This window comes from Homo sapiens, chromosome 2, assembly GCF_000001405.40.
Source record: "Homo sapiens chromosome 2, GRCh38.p14 Primary Assembly".
Lineage (NCBI taxonomy): Eukaryota > Metazoa > Chordata > Mammalia > Primates > Hominidae > Homo > Homo sapiens.
The window spans coordinates 100,115,504-100,133,342 of NC_000002.12; the positions used below are offsets into that span (position 1 = coordinate 100,115,504).

At 40.9% G+C, this 17,839-nt stretch overlaps 1 protein-coding gene across 7 annotated transcripts in view, besides 1 other annotated feature; it reads right to left on the reverse strand.

Moving 5' to 3' along the window:
- Positions 1-17,839, reverse strand: part of AFF3 (ALF transcription elongation factor 3) — a 597,172-nt gene that overhangs the window by 570,085 nt on the left and 9,248 nt on the right. For 6 of the 7 annotated variants that reach the window (XM_047444286.1, NM_001386135.1, XM_047444281.1 and 3 more), the window contains exon 2: positions 13,721-13,803. The exons of the other annotated variant lie outside the window; for it this stretch is intronic. The gene's annotated coding sequence lies outside the window, so the exon portion shown is untranslated. The remainder of the gene's footprint in view (positions 1-13,720; positions 13,804-17,839) is intronic. 7 annotated transcript variants of the gene reach the window in all.
- Positions 3,541-4,484: an enhancer, noted in NCBI's record as "OCT4-NANOG hESC enhancer chr2:100735506-100736449 (GRCh37/hg19 assembly coordinates)". NCBI's record gives its function as "activates a minimal SCP1, AML or CMV promoter by ChIP-STARR-seq in primed H9 embryonic stem cells {active_cell/tissue: H9 hESC(primed)}" and the evidence as "EXISTENCE:reporter gene assay evidence [ECO:0000049][PMID:30033119]".

Genomic DNA, 17,839 nt, shown 5'->3' on the forward strand with positions numbered 1-17,839 from the left:
GAGATCATACACTGTACTCCATCCAGCCTGGGTGACAGAGGGAGACGCTGTCTCAAAAAATAAAAATAAAAATAAGTGTATCCTGCTATTGTTGGTATGGTATTCCTTATTTGTTCATCCGTTATATTTTCAGCTCATTTTTTTCAGATCTTTCTATTCTTACTGATATGATGTCTGATGTATTATGTCTATCTTATCTAAGAGGTTTGTCAGAATACCAGTATTTCCTATGTTTCCACTGGTGAAGAATTCTCTGTGTCTTTTAGTATGGGAATATCAACTTTTCTTTTGTTTCTTTCAGTCTGGAAATATCAATTTTATGTTTATAATTGAAGGGTATTTTTGCCAGGTTTAAAATGACAGATAAACAGTTCTTTTCCTTAAGTACTTTGAGTGCTGTCAATTTTATTGTTGTTCCTATGAGATGTTTGTCAACATTTTCCTCTATAATTGAAGGTTTTTAAAATTTCTTCTTATAATTTTTTTCAAGTTATTCTTTACATATTTGAAATCATGCTATTATGTGCCTAAGATTTAGAATAGTTACACCATCCTGTTGAACTGGCCCTGTTAACAATGATGAGTGGTCTCTCCTAATCTCTAATGATGATTTTTGCCTTAAAAATCTACATATCTCATACAGATATAACTGCATCAGCTTTCCTTGGGTTTATGTTTGTAGGAAAAGTATCTTTCCATACTTCTCCTTTTTGCCTTTCTATATCCTTATGTTTTATATGTGTCATTTGTAAACAACATATAGCTCTATGTTTGCTTTTTTTTTTAACTCAGCCTGACAAACTTTGCCTTTTAATTAAAGAAATTAATCTATTTACAGTTAATGTAATTACATTTATATTGGGCTGTAAGTCTACCATTCGCAAGGAGCTATTTGTTCTGATCGTTCTGTTCCTTTGTCTATTTTTGTGCTGTCCTCATTTGGATTATTTGAGTATACTTTTATTGTCCTATGTTCCTTCTCTATTACCTTGGAACATACATGGCTTTGTTTACTATTCTTTACTGTTGAACTTGAAAGTAAATCATGAATTCTTGACTTATCAAAGTCCAATATTAATTGTTATTTTTATTTTCTTCCAGGAAAATTCAAGGACCTTAGAACTTTTTAAATCCATTTACTCTTCTCTATATTTGTGTATCATTGTTGTCATGTACTTAATTTTCTATATATTAAACCCCCAAAGACATTATTATTTTATATAGTTAATTTTCATTAGCATTTTGCTTGCCCTTCATTCATTCCTGCACCTCTGGTCTTCCATTTAGGATAATTTTTCTTCTCCTTAAAGAATACCAGTATTTCCTGTGTTTCCACTGGTGAACAATTCTCTGTTTCTTTTAGTAAGGGAACATCAATTTTTCTTTGTTTCTTTCAGTCTGGAAATATCAATTTTACATTTATAATTGAAGAGTATTTTTGCCAGGTTTAAAATGACAGATTAACAGTTCTTTTCCTTAAGTACTTTGAGTGCTGTCAACTTTACTGTTGTTCCGATGAAAATAAAACCCCTTTTTCCTCTGTCTGCTTTTAAGATTTTCTTTTTGTCCTTGATTATCAGCAGTTTTACCATAATGTACCTAGGTGTGGATTTCATTTTATTCATCTTATTTGGAATTCATAGGGCTTCTTATCTAAGTTTGATAGCTTCATCAGTTTGGGAAGTTCTTAGCCATTATCTCTTTAATTATTTATTTTGGCCCATTGATTCTCTTTCCTCTTCTTCTGAGACTTCAATTTTATGCATGCTAGAATTTTTAGCTGTCTTTCTATCTTTTACTTTCTCTTGTGAAATTTTACATTTTTGTCTTTTGAAAGCTTCTTTCTGAATATTTTATTCTAATGTGTCTTCCAGTCAACTAGTTTCTTCTTCAGCTTTATGTCATCTCTTGTTAAACCCATCCACTGAGTTCTTAATTTGGGGTATCACGATTTTTTGATTCTAGAATTTCCACTTGGTTATTTTTTATTGTTTCTAGGCCTCTGCCAAATTCTCAACCTTATCTTTTTGCCTTTTGGAGATTGTAAGCATAGTTATCTTAAAGTTTGGGTCTACTGACTCTTTTACGTGGAGCGCATAGGTGTCTATTTCTCCTATCTGTTGTTTCTGCTGACAACATTTCATTAATCTCCTTGTAGCTAGTTATTTCGAATTATGTGATCAACATTGTATTTGAAAAACAGTAATATGCAAAAACATTTGAGACCTAGGGTGATATTATTTTTCTCCAGAGAGCATGTCCAATTCTGCCAAGTACTTGGGGGCATTAGCAATTCAAGATTATCTTTACATAATTTCACAAGTTCAGGGGATTTTAAAGTATACTGCAATCCCTTTAGGGACATGTATACTTTCAAGACCTCATTTCTTCTAGTGTATGCTTTCAGTATTCCAACCCAAATGATAGAGATTCACTGTACTCGAGTTTTCCCCATTGGACCCTCACTTCATTGCCTCACCTGAGCTCCAGAAGACTGTCAAGAGCATAGTTTGCCTCTCTTCCACCACCTCCAAAACCAGGGAAGGCCACCAGGGGAAAAGTGATCCTAAACACCACATTTACTTCCTTTGATTTCTATCTTTTCTGGAGCAGGGTGCTGTAATTCTTTACTCAGTTGTTAGATCCTTAATGCCCTTATATCCTAATTATTTGAAAACTTCTTTTAGATGAACTAAATAAATGCATATATTGCATTTATATGCACATTTATCCAAATAAAGTTTTATTTGGATTTGAGTAACTTGCTCTTCCACTGACTTTCACAGGATGCCTGCAAACTATCCTGTGAATGGGCTAAGAGCACAAGATTTAGAGTGAGCAAATCTGGTTCTAATCCTTGTTATGCTCCTAGAAGCAGTGCAATTTTAGGCAGCTTACTTAAACTTTCTAATTACCACTTCCCTGACTGGTAAAGGGAGCTGATGGTTATAGCTCCATTGTTGATAAATCAATGAAATAACATTGCAAAGTTATATTACAGTGTCAGCATCTAGTGTAAGCACTCATCAAATAGCATCTATTCTTATTTGATATGAGCCATTTAAATGTAACATTTACCAAGGATAAGTATTTTAGATTGAAAATGGTTATAATGATGGGATTTTTTTTTTCTGGTCGTTGTATTTCAGGAAGGAACTCTTAGGTCATCATTTTTGGCCCCTGGGAATACCTGCTTCATAACTTTCCTATGCCCAAATCTTAGCACTGTTTATGCTGTAGAACTCAGCCCTTTGGAATACTTCCTTGCATTCTTGGATCAATAACAAATTCCAACTAAGGAAAATTCTGACTTTTTTTTTTTTTTTGAGACAGAGTCTCGCTCTGTCGCCCAGGCTAGGGTGCAGTGATCCCAGCTCACTGCAGCCTCTGCCTCCTAGGTTCAAGCCAATCTCCTACCTCCCGAGTAGCTGGGATTACAGGCGTGCGCCACCACACCCAGCTAATTTTTGTATTTTTAGCAGAGACGGGGTTTCACCATGTTGGCCATGCTGGTCATGAACCCCCTGACCTCAGGTGATCCGCACACCTCGGCCCCCCGAAGTGCTGGGATTACAGACGTGAGCCACCACACCTAGCCCTAATTCTGGATTTGTATACACATAGTCTTAATGCATACCTTCATGCAGAGATGTGTGAGACCCCTGCTTATGTGTCTCAGTTTCTACAATTGCTCCAGTTGTCTTAATGCCTTTACTAGCTCCCTTTTTACCCACAGGTAAGGCCAAAAGTGCACTGGTAAAGTCCCTGTGATTACCCTCAGGGGCTTTGTTGTTACAGCCCTACTTTAAGCCACTTGTCCCTGTTTTACATGTCTAGAGATTATCCACTCTTCAGGAGACCATTCCTGCTAATTCCCACTGTTGGGCATTTGAAAGCATGCTCATTTAAACATCAGTAACTAGGAGTCTTCATTGGCCTCATGCTGCTTAATTCCTAACCTGGTCTTGACCCCAGAGTCAAAGCCCTGTGAAAAGTCAATACAAGCAGCAAACAATGGTATGTTATTCTTGGCCGACTTTGCAAAACAATGAAAGAGTTCAACAATAGTTAATTATGGCTTAATAGTTGCTAACAAGTATTGAGTGTTAATAAAGTGGCAGGCAATGTGCACACATTCTCTCATTTGATTCACATAACAACCAAATGAGGTAGGCACTGTCATTATCCCCATTTTACAGGGAAGAAAGTGTGGTTTACAGGGGACAAACTATTTAATCTGAGGCCTCAAGCCAGCAACAGTGTTGCATGTCAGCCATTCCCGGAGTCTGTGTGCTCCCCCACATAGAATACTTGCCTGAGAAACACAGACCTTCAGTGCATTATGGAGGAAGCCATTGTGAAGTTTTTGAAGGAATGTCTAACAGTGAATAAGTCTGTAGTTATTAACAGAATCGCTCTGTTAGAATGGAGTAGATTACGCTTCTAAAGACTATCCTGATGGGGATAGAGCCTGAGGACCAAATTAAAGCAAACAGGTTAGCAACATCAAAACCAACTCATCACAATAGGGGGAGAAAAGACTGGCAGCAAAGGGATATCATCTAGTCACATTAGTGATGATGTTTAATACATAGTCCATACGAGAAGTATTATCAGGTCTTGAGAAGTAGCTTCTTAGAGAGGCTTACGATTGACAAAATGGAAGGCGACACACCTGCCAGTGTATGCCTGTGAAAAATCAGCCTTCTAGGCCCAGCTAGAATATGTATTTCCACAGGATCTCTGACTGGACACATTCAGCATGAAACCGTGGTCACAGAATTTACCCCCATTAAGGATTCTAACAGCTCAGTCTGAGGCTTCCCACAGAAATCATTGCATTTGAGTATCTTTTATGGAGGCAAATTAAAATAAGAAAAAAAATTGGTAAGTTACTTAGTGGTCTGGTTGCCTTGCCTTCTTAGGAAAGGTTTTCTTTTTTATTTTGCTTCTGCACCCCCAACCCCCACCCTCTGCCTTGTGAATACTTATCCAACCAAAAGCCTGTAGCCAAAAGGCTGAGATCCACATTTACCCAAACAGTTTTGGTTATTACATATCTGAGGAAGGGAAGAAATTCTCCCCTTAACTTTTTGAGGCAATTAAAATGTAGCTTCAGAAAATTATTATGAGATTGAAGAGTCCCTTCACTCCACCTTAGCCATTTTTTTTTAAGAGATTGGGCCTAGCTCCATCACCCAGGCTGGAGTGCAGTGATGTGATCATAGCTCACTGTAGCCTTGAACTCTTGGGCTCAAGCGATCCTCCATGCCTCCATGCCACCATAACTGGCTAATATTTCCTTTAAATTTTGTTAGAGATGGGAGTCTCCCTATGTTGCTCAGGCTGGTCTCAAACTTCTGGCCTCAAGCGATCCTCCTGCCTCAGTCTCCATGAGTAGCTGGGATTATAGGCATGAGTCACCATGCCTGGCCACCTTTGCCTTTTATCCTAGTCTCACCAAAGTCTAAGTAAGGATAGAAATAGATTCAGGGACTGTGAATGTCAAGGTTTAGGTGTGAAGGTGAAAAGGTCCGAAATATTTATTACAAATGATAGGGACAGGAGGCAGAGAAATTCTGGGAGGGCAGGTCCCTGGTGAGGGCCCCACTCTCAAGCTGAAAAGCCTGATACCACAGCCCAAAGTGAGAACTGACAGCCCTGTTTTCCTGCTTGAATGTTGCCTTTTCCAAAACCACCCATGGTCCACCCTGCCCACCATCCAGTGCCCATAGAAACCTCAGGCTCAACCAGCAGAGAGAGGAGAAGCAGCTGGGCTTCGGAGAATATAGTTGAACATCGGAGAGAAGTGGTTTGACTTCAGAGGGACAGCTTGATAGTGTAGCTTTGGAGAGGAGTCCGGCCAGGGATGGGAATATCCTGCTTCACAAAGATGGTGGCAATGAAGGAGCAGTGGTTATATAGGCTAAAGCAGTGGCTTCTCACAGTGAAGATATGGAAGTGAAATTCTCAATAAACTAGCTCTGTACACTGCCAGGCAGTAATACCTGGCACACGAAGTGCTCAATGAATGCTTGCTAGGTAAATAAATTGATTTTGACAGTGTCTGAGCTGGCCAAGCTTTTCAGCTGAATCTTAAAGGATGAGCTTGGCAAGTGGAGAGGGGATGGGTTCAAATCAAAGCATATGCAAAGGCACCTGGGGTGAGGAAGACCTTCAAGTTCTTGTCCAGGCAGTTAGGTGGGCAGTGGTACCATTGATAAAAAAAGATGGCAGATGGAGGAGGAGGTGTCAGTCAAATTAATAACAAGCATATGGCCGGGCGCGGTGGCTCACGCCTGTAATCCCAGCACTTTGGGAGGCCGAGGCGGGTGGATCATGAGGTCAGGAGATCGAGACCATCCTGGCTAACAAGGTGAAACCCCGTCTCTACTAAAAATACAAAAAATTAGCCGGGCGCGGTGGCGGGCGCCTGTAGTCCCAGCTACTCGGGAGGCTGAGGCAGGAGAATGGCGTGAACCCGGGAAGCGGAGCTTGCAGTGAGCCGAGATTGCGCCACTGCAGTCCGCAGTCCGGCCTGGGTGACAGAGCGAGACTCCGTCTCAAAAAAATAAATAAATAAATAAAAAATAACAAGCATATGCTATTTTGCCACAAGTTGGGGAAATTAATGTTTAAGAGACTGGTACATCATGACAAGTGTTACTGTCTAAAGTTGCCCTTCTCCATATTGACACAACTTACATCATTCTACAGTCTTTTTTATTGGTGCATTCTTTGACTTTCCTAGAGCCCATCTTTTAATTTTGTCATTTAGCACAATGGGATATTATTTACTAAAGATTGAGATGATCATGAGAGAACCATCCAAAATCAGAAACTTTATTTCAAATTTATTTATTATCACCTTCCTGTAATAGCTAGGCTGTCACTTTATTTAATTTCTTGCTAAAACCTATGTGTTATTGTGTCAACATTTTGTAGATGCAGAAACAAAAGCATTAAAATAAAGCATCACTCAAGGATGTGCAGGGCAAATTAAGAGATGGTCGCAGCAGAGAGGCAGAGAGTGAAGACTATAATAATAAGGTTGCCCAACCCAAAGTTGTAAAAACTGAACATATGAGACCCTGAATTGGAAAATGACATGCCTGAGAGTCATGGCCCAGGTGCGTGCAATTGAGAACAAGTATGTCTCTAGAGAAGAGAGGAAAGCAAAATGGCTGTTTGATAAATGAAGTCAATGTTTCTCAAAATGTGAGTTTTCTAAAATGAGCATTTCCCAAAATGTACATTTTTCAAATTTTAAATCTTTAGAGATTCACAATGCATACTGGCAATGAGAGACTCTGAGAATACCGGCAACAAAGAAAACTATTTAACTTCATTTAACCCAATGTGGATCAAACTAATTTGACCTTGGAATGCATTTTTCATGGAACATCTATTACCACCTCCCAGGAAAGTGTGGGAAACACTGAGTTAAAAAACGAATGTTTAATTTGGTAGATGATCAATAAATGCTTATTTTTGAATTTTTATGAGTAATTTTCTAATGAAATCTGTATCTGTTGTCAACAGTTGTTCAAAAATGGATGTAAAAAAGTGAAGTAGCCATGACCTTCAGAATGAGAAGAAAACCTTAGAAGTAGGAGGAATATGGCTTTACTAACATCCACTAAAATAATGCAAAAATGTCTACCATTTGGCTTGGCCAACCCAGGGATAAATTATTCCCTCAATTTTTGTAGCATGTAGTTCCTCTGAAACTGCTAATTCTGCTTAGATGCCTTCTGACTGTAAGCGAAGTTTAATTATTTCATTTTCTTTAATAGCAGAGGGTTGGTAAATTGTTTAAGAGGAACAAACAATGTCTTGTTACATAGGTGGAAGGATGCAGAGTCCTGGTGTGCTCCTGGTGACATGACTGTCAAGGCATATGAAAGTCGATATTAACAAAAAATAGAGCTAATGATTCATATAACACCATTTTTCACTTTACATTGAAATGTGTTGGGTTTGTAGAATGAGAATATATGTGATTATTGGGCATACTCCAGTTCAAATTTTGGCTTCATTACTTGTAGCTCTGTAATCATAAGTCTCTGTGCTTCCGTTTTGTATTTGTAAAACGGCATCGATAGTGTTGAATAGTGTAGAATAAAGGCCTCCTCATTTTGACTCTTAGAAATCTCCAGGAGAGCATAGCTCATCATCATCCTACCCTGAAGCAAAATATCCTAGCAGACATGCCCCACCCCATCCCACTCACAGTTCTAAAGGAGAGAGGTCAGAGCCAAAACATAGACCTGCTAACAGTAAGCACGTGAAACACAGTCACTTAATCCCACTCCCTTAGATAGAAATGCAAAGCCAAGGAACCACCAGGCACATAAAGAGAATGGCAGCATGAAAGAAGAAGAAACAAGAATGCCTTCCCCCCTGAAAAAAATGACAACCGAGGAACAGAAGACAACATTAAAAGTGCTCTAATTAATATGCCAGGGGGATTTGGGAGAAAATATTACACTCTTAAAAGCAGAACACAATGCTAAGAAAAAGAAACAAAGAATAAAAGAGAGTGTTCACAGGTTTAAAACAGGGACTAATTACATTTTAAAAATTTAAAATATTTGGAAAATAAGCCCAAGAACTCTCTTTCCTCTCTCAGAATGTAGGGAGAGAAAGACAAAGGAATCGAAAACTATGAGAGAGATCCTTGAAGATGCGTCTAGGAGATTTAACATACAAGGCTGGAGTTGAAAAAAATTATCAAAGAAATACTTGAAGAAAAAATTTCCAAAGCTGAAGGACAAAATTCTTCAGACTTAAAAGGGTTTCCTGAGTGCACAGAACAATTAGTGAAAAGAAAGCTTGCCTAGGCACAGCTTTGATGTGTCAGAGTACCAAGGATAAAAACAAACATCTAAAGGCTTTTATACCCAGCCAGATATCAATCAAGTGTGAAGGCAGAATAATGGTATTTTCAGAAAGAAAGATCTCAGAAAGTTTATTTTTTATACATCCTTTTTTAAAGGGTATTATAGACATATTCCAGAAAAACAAGACTGAGATAGGAAGTTGTGGGCTCCAGCAAATTGTGGTTCCAATCCAGACCCCTGATAGCAGTTAGAAGAAATTTACAACATGGCAATTGCATTGCTGACATAGAGGGCAGCCAGTACAGGTGGAGCAGAAGGGGGGAGATGGGGGGGTGTATCAGGTCTTCAGGAAAAGGGACTTAAAAAAATGACTTGGGGAAAATTAATCAAGGGCAACTAATGCAAGAAAACAACATCAGCTGGAAACTCTGAAAATCAGGTGGATGAATGTATAATAAACCTGAATGTATAATAAGGTCATAATTCATATATGAAGCAAACTAAAATGTGGCAAAATTAGAGCATAAAGACAGAGAGAAATTCCACTGAATCATGATTCTGGGAACCTTGATCAGCCCAGGGGTCATGACCTTAAGACATATTAAAAAGAACACATTCCTAATACATGACTTCATCAGTCAATGACAGAATCATAGCAACTTGGTTGCAATTTCAACACAAAAACAAAAGGTAAACATGTATCTGGAAATGGGACATGAATGGTGGGGATAGAACGTGGAGAAGAGGAGAGGGCCATCAATAACTTTATCTTTTAAAGTGGGAAATAAAGAGACATATTGTTGAAAGTTGATAAAATGAGAAATGGAGATTTAGCATAACACCTTACATTACAACAATAAACACAAGAAGAACAGAGATAAAAATGCAAATGTCAGACCCTGGCAATGTCCAAGATTCTGGGAGGAGAGGGGTGGTATTATGGAGCTATATCCTCAATTTTCATATTATGGAGTCTGTAAATATCATCTATTATTGACAGATTAAAAAAAAATAGAGGTATAAGCATGTTGTCTATGTGAAGGCAAGACCAGAAGAATAGAGAATGGAAAAATGGAAACAAGCTCGCAGAGTGGGGCCCATGCCTGTCTCATTTGTTCAACGTTGTATCCCTAGAGCCTAGAATGGTTGGGTGCCGGGAATACCTGCTTAATGAATGCATGAAAAGAAGTTCACCCTGGGCAATGGTACTGGAGGTGAAGAGAAGGGCCAGGGGCTGTTGCTTTCCAACACTGAGTAGTTGCAGATGGAGGTATTATTTTGGTTAAAAAAAAAATCTGTAATTGTGAAAACTATGGAAGAATGAGGCATGCTGTAAAGGGGGTGGTCACCTTGGGGAGGGGAATGTAGGAAGAACTCTGGAGGAGGAGCCAGCCAAGGAAGGAGAGGAGGTGTTCCCAGCTGAGGAAATAGTGTGGAGACTCCAAGTGGAAGGAAGACAGATCCAGCTGGCTGGAGCACAGCAGGGGGTGGGTGACAGGCTCCGCGTGAGCCTGGGGAGGTAGGCAGGGGCCAGGTTTACACAGGCATGGTAGGCCACATTCAGGATGCTGATGAACTGCTCAAGAAATGCTCTGTGCACACACTTGGGACCAGGGTGCCATGGCATTCTGTTCTTAACTGATCAGGAATGGCCTGGACCTTTGGATTTGATGTATGGGATCTAATTACTTTGAGCAACCAAAAAAAGAGAAGAAAATGCTACCTATTAGATAACTGAATAAATAGAGCGTGGCCAACTTCTCACACCCATCCTGTGCTTATTGCATGAGGCGAATGAGATGTGCTGGGAATGCCGGGGAAATGGCTGGATTTTCTCCTCACCAAGGTGTTGCTACTTGTCAGGAAGTTGTGACACTGGTTTAGCACGGAGGCAGAGAAACACGATCAGGACAATTTAGGCATTGATCAGTGGCAAAGCATGTTCTGTTCGAGAAGCCAGAGGAGTGTTTACTGGGCTCTCAGGAGCATGAGGCCGGGCCAGCTGCCAAGGATAATTGTAAAGATATGGGCTCTATTCTGAAGAAGTGCCCATTCTTAGAAGACAGAAATAGATGTGGATGCACACAGATCCAGATTCTCACAGAGCACAAATGCTGCACGGGGATTAGGCTTGGTGCTCTGGGAAGCTGAATTAACTCTTCCAACCCACTAGGGTCCTTGTTAGTGCATCGAAGCAGTAATTTACTCAATGACAAGAGTTCACGTCGCTTTCTAAGGCACTTAACTTACTCCCAGGATGTTGGTTGCACACCAGGGGAATCTGGCTCACTAATCTTTAATACTTGTCATAATTATTTTTCTTTCAATAATACTATTTCCCCCTTGAGAAACTCAAAATTATTACATAAGAAATGTAGAAATATAAGTGTGTGATATTTTTTAATAAAATGTAGTCAGTGGCCCCAGGGAATTTTTGTAGCAAAAGCCTCTCAAATCAATTATGTTTTCTCATTTCTGTTTCCAATAATTGAATATTTTATTTCTATATTTATTTAAGTTCTTTCAAAATGAAAAGGTGGAGTTGTGTTGACACACTGGGAAAGGAGGGTATTATTAATTAAACTTGTTTAAAGTCTAAGATGGAAACAGTGCTGATGCATATACATTTGCTTCAATGAGCTGTTGGCTGCTCTGTGAGGTTACAGAAATATTATTGGCAGTTGCGGGTGGTGGCACCATTATATGCATCATTCCATCCTCTCTGGGAGGTCCCTGGTGGTGGCCCTCCAAGAGGCATCATTCCATCATCTCTAGGAGGTAACTCTGCAATCACAGTTCATCCAGTCAGAGAAAAAATGACCGAGGCTCCCCTAGGTGTTTAGTGTCCATGACTCAGCGGTTTAGAAAATCCAGGATTACGGACTGCATTTGTCTCATTTTAATCTGGATGTTCAGTCCTGCTCCCTCCCTCTGTCACTTCAACTGGCCCTCACTGTCATGTGCCTCCATTGTCTCATCTGATTCTAACATTCCTGCTGTGATGTGGGTGGGGGTGAAGGTCATTCCCCTTTCATAGGTAAGGAACACAAGGTTCAGAAAGGTTGAGGACATTTGCCCAGGGTCACAAGGCTGCTTGGTGTCGGAGTCAGAACTAGCCTGGGGTGGGGAAATGGGGTCTTCTGGTTCCTTGCGGTCACTTCCTGTGGAGTCCCTGACCTCCGGTCCTGTTTTGCCTGACCTCTCAGCTTCAACTGCTCTTCCATGCCACTGCTGCACAAATGCTCTGAATGTTTGAATAAACAACCCCTGAGAAGAGTAGCCCAAGGAAGTCCCTGCCCAGAGACTGATGAGTTGTTACCCAGAGGCCTGGAGAGCTCCCAGGATGGCAGACACTGCCTGCAGGAGTTGGCATTCATCAGAAAACAGTTCTTCACGGAGTAGGTAGATCTTCAACCCTGTCTGGCTAGCTCCCTTTCTAAGCTGGAGGTGTCAGAGGCGTGTGAACCAGAGCAACTCCATCTTGAATAGGAGCTGGGTAAATGAGGCTGAAATCTACTGGGCTGCATTCCCAGACATTTAAGGCATTCTAATTCACAGGATGAGATGGGAGGTCAGCACAAGATACAGGTCCTAAAGACGTTGCTGATAAAACAGATTGCAGTAAAGAAGCCGGCTAAATCCCACCAAAACCAAGATGGCCATGAGAGTGACCTCTGATCGTCCTCACTGCTACACTCCCACCAGCACCATGACAGTTTACAAATGCCATGGCAACATCAGGAAGTTACTCTATATCATCTAAAAATGGGAGGCACGAATAATCCACCCCTTGTTTAGCGTATCATCCAGAAATAGCCATAAAAATGGGCAACCAGCAGCCCTCGGGGCTGCTCTGTCTATGGAGTAGCCATTCGTTTATTCCTTCACGTTTTTAATAAACTTGTTTTCACTTGACTCTGTGAACTCGCCCTGAATTCTTTCTTGCGTGAGATCCAAGACCCCCTCTCTTGGAGTCTGGATCGGGACCACTTTCCTGTAACAGAGGCTCCTTTAAAACAGGTATGGATAATACCACCCCTAGTTCTCTCTCTTTCCTCTAGCCCAGCCTCATGGGGAAACCTCTCCAGAGGCCTCTGATTTTTTCTGTGGTTGGTTAAGGAAGACCAGAGTGACCTACTCAAGGAAGTTAATTTCAGAGGTCAAGCAATGACTTTCCCAGAGTCTGCCTCTTCAAACTCATGCCACTGGAGATTAATAAACGTTGGTTATTGTTATTTGGCCCCAAGGAGGCTTTGAATGCGGAGAATTGCGACCTGCATGCCTAGGTCAACCCCATAGCCTTAGATCGAGCCACTGTGACACCAGAAGGTGAAATGGGACACAAGGGTAGAAATTACAAAGAGGCTGCCTTCAGTTTGAAATAAAGGACTTTCAAGTAATTAGAACTCTTTCAAAAAGGAATGGCCCTGTCAAAAGGTTTCGTTGCCAGAAGTAGTTAAAGAGTTGTTGACTACATGTCTAAGTGTGCTGGGAAGGGAGAGGATGGTTAGAATAGATGACCTCTAAGGTCTCAGCACGGAGATATTTAATTTGTATATCCTTCCTGTGGACACATTTCTGTGTCCTGGAGTACACAGGGAGGGAGTGGGGTCAGAGGTCAGGGCCAATGGTCAGGGGGCTCCAGAGCATCTGCCTCTGGACACAACACAGGCCCACAGCTCATAGGCCTGGCTACCTTCTCAGTTCCCCTGGTTTCATCAACATTGTCACCATTGACTGGGTTAGCAGCAGCAACCGCTTAACGTAACTAAAATATCTATTCTGATGAGATTCTGGAACAAAAATCCCAAATGACTTTTCCCCTCGAATCATAGGAAACTGCAGCAGAGATATCACTGTATCACTTGAATGTGTACCTGCTTGCCAGTTACTCCGGATTGATGCTTCCCGATGTAAACAATGGCTGATCGTAAGGTCTAAATCATATGTGTGAAACTTTCTGCAAAACAAAAGCGATTGGGTATTTAGGCAAAAACATCAGTTTAGTAGTTTCCCTGGCAAATGTCCTATAACTCTGTGTGTGTGTGTGTGTGTGTGTGTGTGTGTGTGTATACATATTCATGTATAAAACAGTTTGCTTTACAAGCAAGTAATGGTCAGGTCATTCTGCTGGGCAATTTACTCTCTAGGAACCCAAAGGGGCCTGTGTTACATGCATGCTTTTTTACAGGTTACTCAGAGCCATTTAGAAAATTACTATTGTGCTTCACAAAATGCCCCACCAGCCTGAGGAATTAACCCTCTTCCCAATACGTCTAATTCACTTGTTCTTCAGGTAATCGGCACATTAAAGCTGATGCAGATCCAGTGTCTATATAATAAAAACAGCTAATTTTTACTGAGCGCTTAGCATGTTCCCGGAACTCTAAATGAATTGGATACAGCTTCAATAAATCCTCACAACAACCCAGATGAGAGTTCCATTATTGTCCCCATTTTAACTGAAGAGTAAATTGAGACTCAGAGAGAAAAGTAATTTGCTCATGGTCACATAGCTTCTAGTGCCTGGCATGTATGAGGCCTGCAATGAGTGATGATTAATATTATTTTATAGTGGGAGGCACAGTTGGGATTTCAGTCCAGGTCTAACACTCAATGAAGCCTTTACACGTGGCCTCTATGTAGTCCTGCCTCATAGAATTCATATTGTGCATGAAAAGGAGGCATGCCATGGCCAAGTGCTGCCAGCGGGAATCCCTGTCCTAAGGGAGGCATATTGTGTATGTCACACTTTCAGTAGCTCCCTGTCAGTTGACAGCGTGTGGCACGTAAAGCAGAATGATTGAGATAGGAGTCTCCAAACTCAGGTAGGATGCGTGAAGTTTCCAGAAGTTCATGAATACATTCAGTGTTAGTGCAAACTATGGCTAGGTTCATAGCTTGCAGATGTCATCCTTCCTAAAACTGATGTGCCCGAGAATGCTCTGCAGGCAAGGCTCCATGCCAGCTCCACGTTTCTGCACCCCAGGTTTCTGCCAGACCAGATACTCACCTCATCTGGGCCTGTCCTCTGCGCAAAAGTAAGAGACACCCGCTCTGAAGAGTGCACCCCATGGGCACAGGGCTCGATGAGATGCCAATGCATTTGTGAGAATTAGAAAACAGATTTCCCTTTCTCTGAGCAAGAGAAGTGTGGGCTGGATTTTAGTCTCCATCCACGGGCTCAGCCGTGTGCCCACAGGCACATCACTGCCTGCCCAAATCTTATAGCAGTGCGTTGCCTAAGTAATAAAAGCCCCTGGGCACCAAAGGGGCAGTTTCAAATACTGATTTCCAGGAAGCTTCGGAGTATGGAGTTTCCTGTAGTTCTTTTAGGAGGTTTGTGAGCAAAATCACTGGCTGCAGTGTGGGTTGATGAGATCACTGGGCTGCCATCGCAGGTCCCTGGGGCATGAGCTACCTCCAGGACAGCCCCACAGAGACAGCCCCACAGAGACAGAGACACTAGCAGTACCACAGGCTTCTCAGCTGAGATGACAGAGGGCACCTGCTAGGCCAGAAGGTTAACCACTCACTCTTCATTTCCAAACAAAGATAGTCAAGCATCTCTTAAAGTACAAAAATATAACTGCAGGCCAGACAACAATAAAGATTGAATAATAGACTCATAAAATTAATGGTCAGAAACTCCATAGCAATATTTTCAGCTCCACGTTTCTCTAGCCCCAGATTATAAACACCATACTTAAAACAACAAAAAAGATGCACTCAACTTTCCAGCCACTGCTTAAGAACGGGGCAGCTTACTAATCCTGGGAAACTTACACCTGGGGACAAAGTTTATTATTGGTTTAACCAAACTGAGAAAGTGCTGGTTTAGTCTCTCTATGGTACTTTCTCATCCCTTAAGCTACTTGAATGAGTATGATTTTCAGGTTAGTATTAATGATATGATGTGAGTGCAGTTTTCGTGGGAGAGGCTGCCTTTTAATATAGGTTTCTCAAGAATTAAAGAACTTCTGCAGCACCCTCTCCATTATATATATGAGTCAAATGTTGATATAAAGCAGTGTTGCCACCAAAGACTACCACACACCCCAGGGATCTAGGGATGAATGAGTGAAAGAATAAATAAACTTTTTTTAAATTTTTTTATTTTTATTTTTTTTAGAGGCAGAGTCTTGCTCTGTTGCCCAGGCTGGAGTGCAGTGGTGCAGTCTCAGCTCACTGCAACCTCTGCCTCCCGGGTTCAAGTGATTCTCCTGCCTCAGCCTCCCGAGGAGCTGGGATTATAGGCATGTACCACCACACCCGGCTAATTTTTGTATTTTTAGTAGAGACGGGGTTTCACCATGTTGGGTAGGCTGGTCTTGAACTCCTGACCTCAAGTTATCCACCTGCCTCAGCTTCCTAAAGTGCTGGGATTACAGGCGTGGATAAACATTTTTAAAGTTCCATCTGTGTGTCATACATGGCATTAGAAGATAATAGTAATGTTAAAAGCTAATGTTTGTTGAGCACCCACTATATCCTAGACCTTGTTCTAAGAAGGGTTCATATCTTTGCTCATTGAATCTGCCATCCCCTTTTACAGAACAGGTAACTGGCTCACCCTCACTCAGCCAGGACATAAAGGAGTCAGGGTGGGATGGAGTGCCTGCCTTGAGGGGTACATTGCTCCCAGCTCCGAGGGAGGACCGGCCCGCCACACACTCCACCTCCTTTGGCAGAACATTTTTAGTTCCACATCTTGGAGAATTGGTTCCCCATCTAAACCCACAGGTTGTACCTAGGATTCTGCTGTTGAAATTGAAGGATGCCTCAGTTAGACAGGAGGAATAAGTTCAGGAGATCCATCGTACAGCATGGTGACTATACTTAAGAACAATGTGTTATATGCTTGAAAATTGCTTAGAGAGTAGATTCCAAGTATCCTCACAACACACACAAAATAAGTAAATGACAAGTAATACATATGAATACATATGTTAAATGGCTTGATTTAGCCATCCCACAATGTATACCTATATCAAAGCATCATGCTATGTGCCATAAATATACACATTTTTGTCAATCAGAAAATAACTCTAGAAACAACAAAACAAAGCCAACACTACTAAAAAGACAAAGAATGTAGTTAAGTCTTTTTTCTGCTTAATCAAGAGAAAGATCAATAAGATATAATAACTTAATGAAGAGAGAAAAAAGAAAAAGACTAGAGAAATTTAGAAAAGTTTCTTGAAAAACAAAGGGTGCGGTATCTTTTTTCCTCTTCATCCTCAGCTTTAGTTGAAAATTAAGTGAAGTATAAGGCAGTATACATACACTAATGCCAAGTGAATAACCAGACTCTCGCTGTCCACTATGGTAACCACTAACCACATGTGACTGCTGAGCATTTGAATCATAGCTAATCTAATTTGAAGACTTAGTACTCAAAAAAATGTTAAATATCTCATTTCCTGTTTTTATATTGATTACACATTGAAATGATAATATTTTTTCTTGTTTTGGATTAAGTAAAATATATTATTAAAAATTTTAAAAAATTGAATGATGCTGGCCTTTTCAAATTTGAAAGAAGAAATTAGGTCAATGGGTTGGGTTTTCTCAATGTTCTGTTTTTGTTTTTTTTTTTTAGATACGGGGTTTTGCTTTGTCTTGCAGGCTGGAGTGCAGAGGTGTGATCAGCTCACGGCAGCTTCGAACTCTTGGGGCTCAAGTGATCCTTCCACCTCAGCCTCCCAACAGCTGGGATTACAGGCATGCACTACCATACCTGGCTCTCATATTTTAAAAGACTATATTGCTGTCTGGGTGCGGTGGCTCACACCTGTAATCTCAGCACTTTAGGAGGTTGAGGTGGGAGGATCACTTGAGCCCAGGAGTTGGAGGCTGCAGTGAACTGTGATCACCACTGCACTCCAGCCTGGGTGACAGAGCCAGACCCTGTCTCTAAAAAATAAAATAAAATATGAGAAGTAAAAACAATTAAAAAAAAACACCCTGCACTCATCCACAATTCCATCACTGGA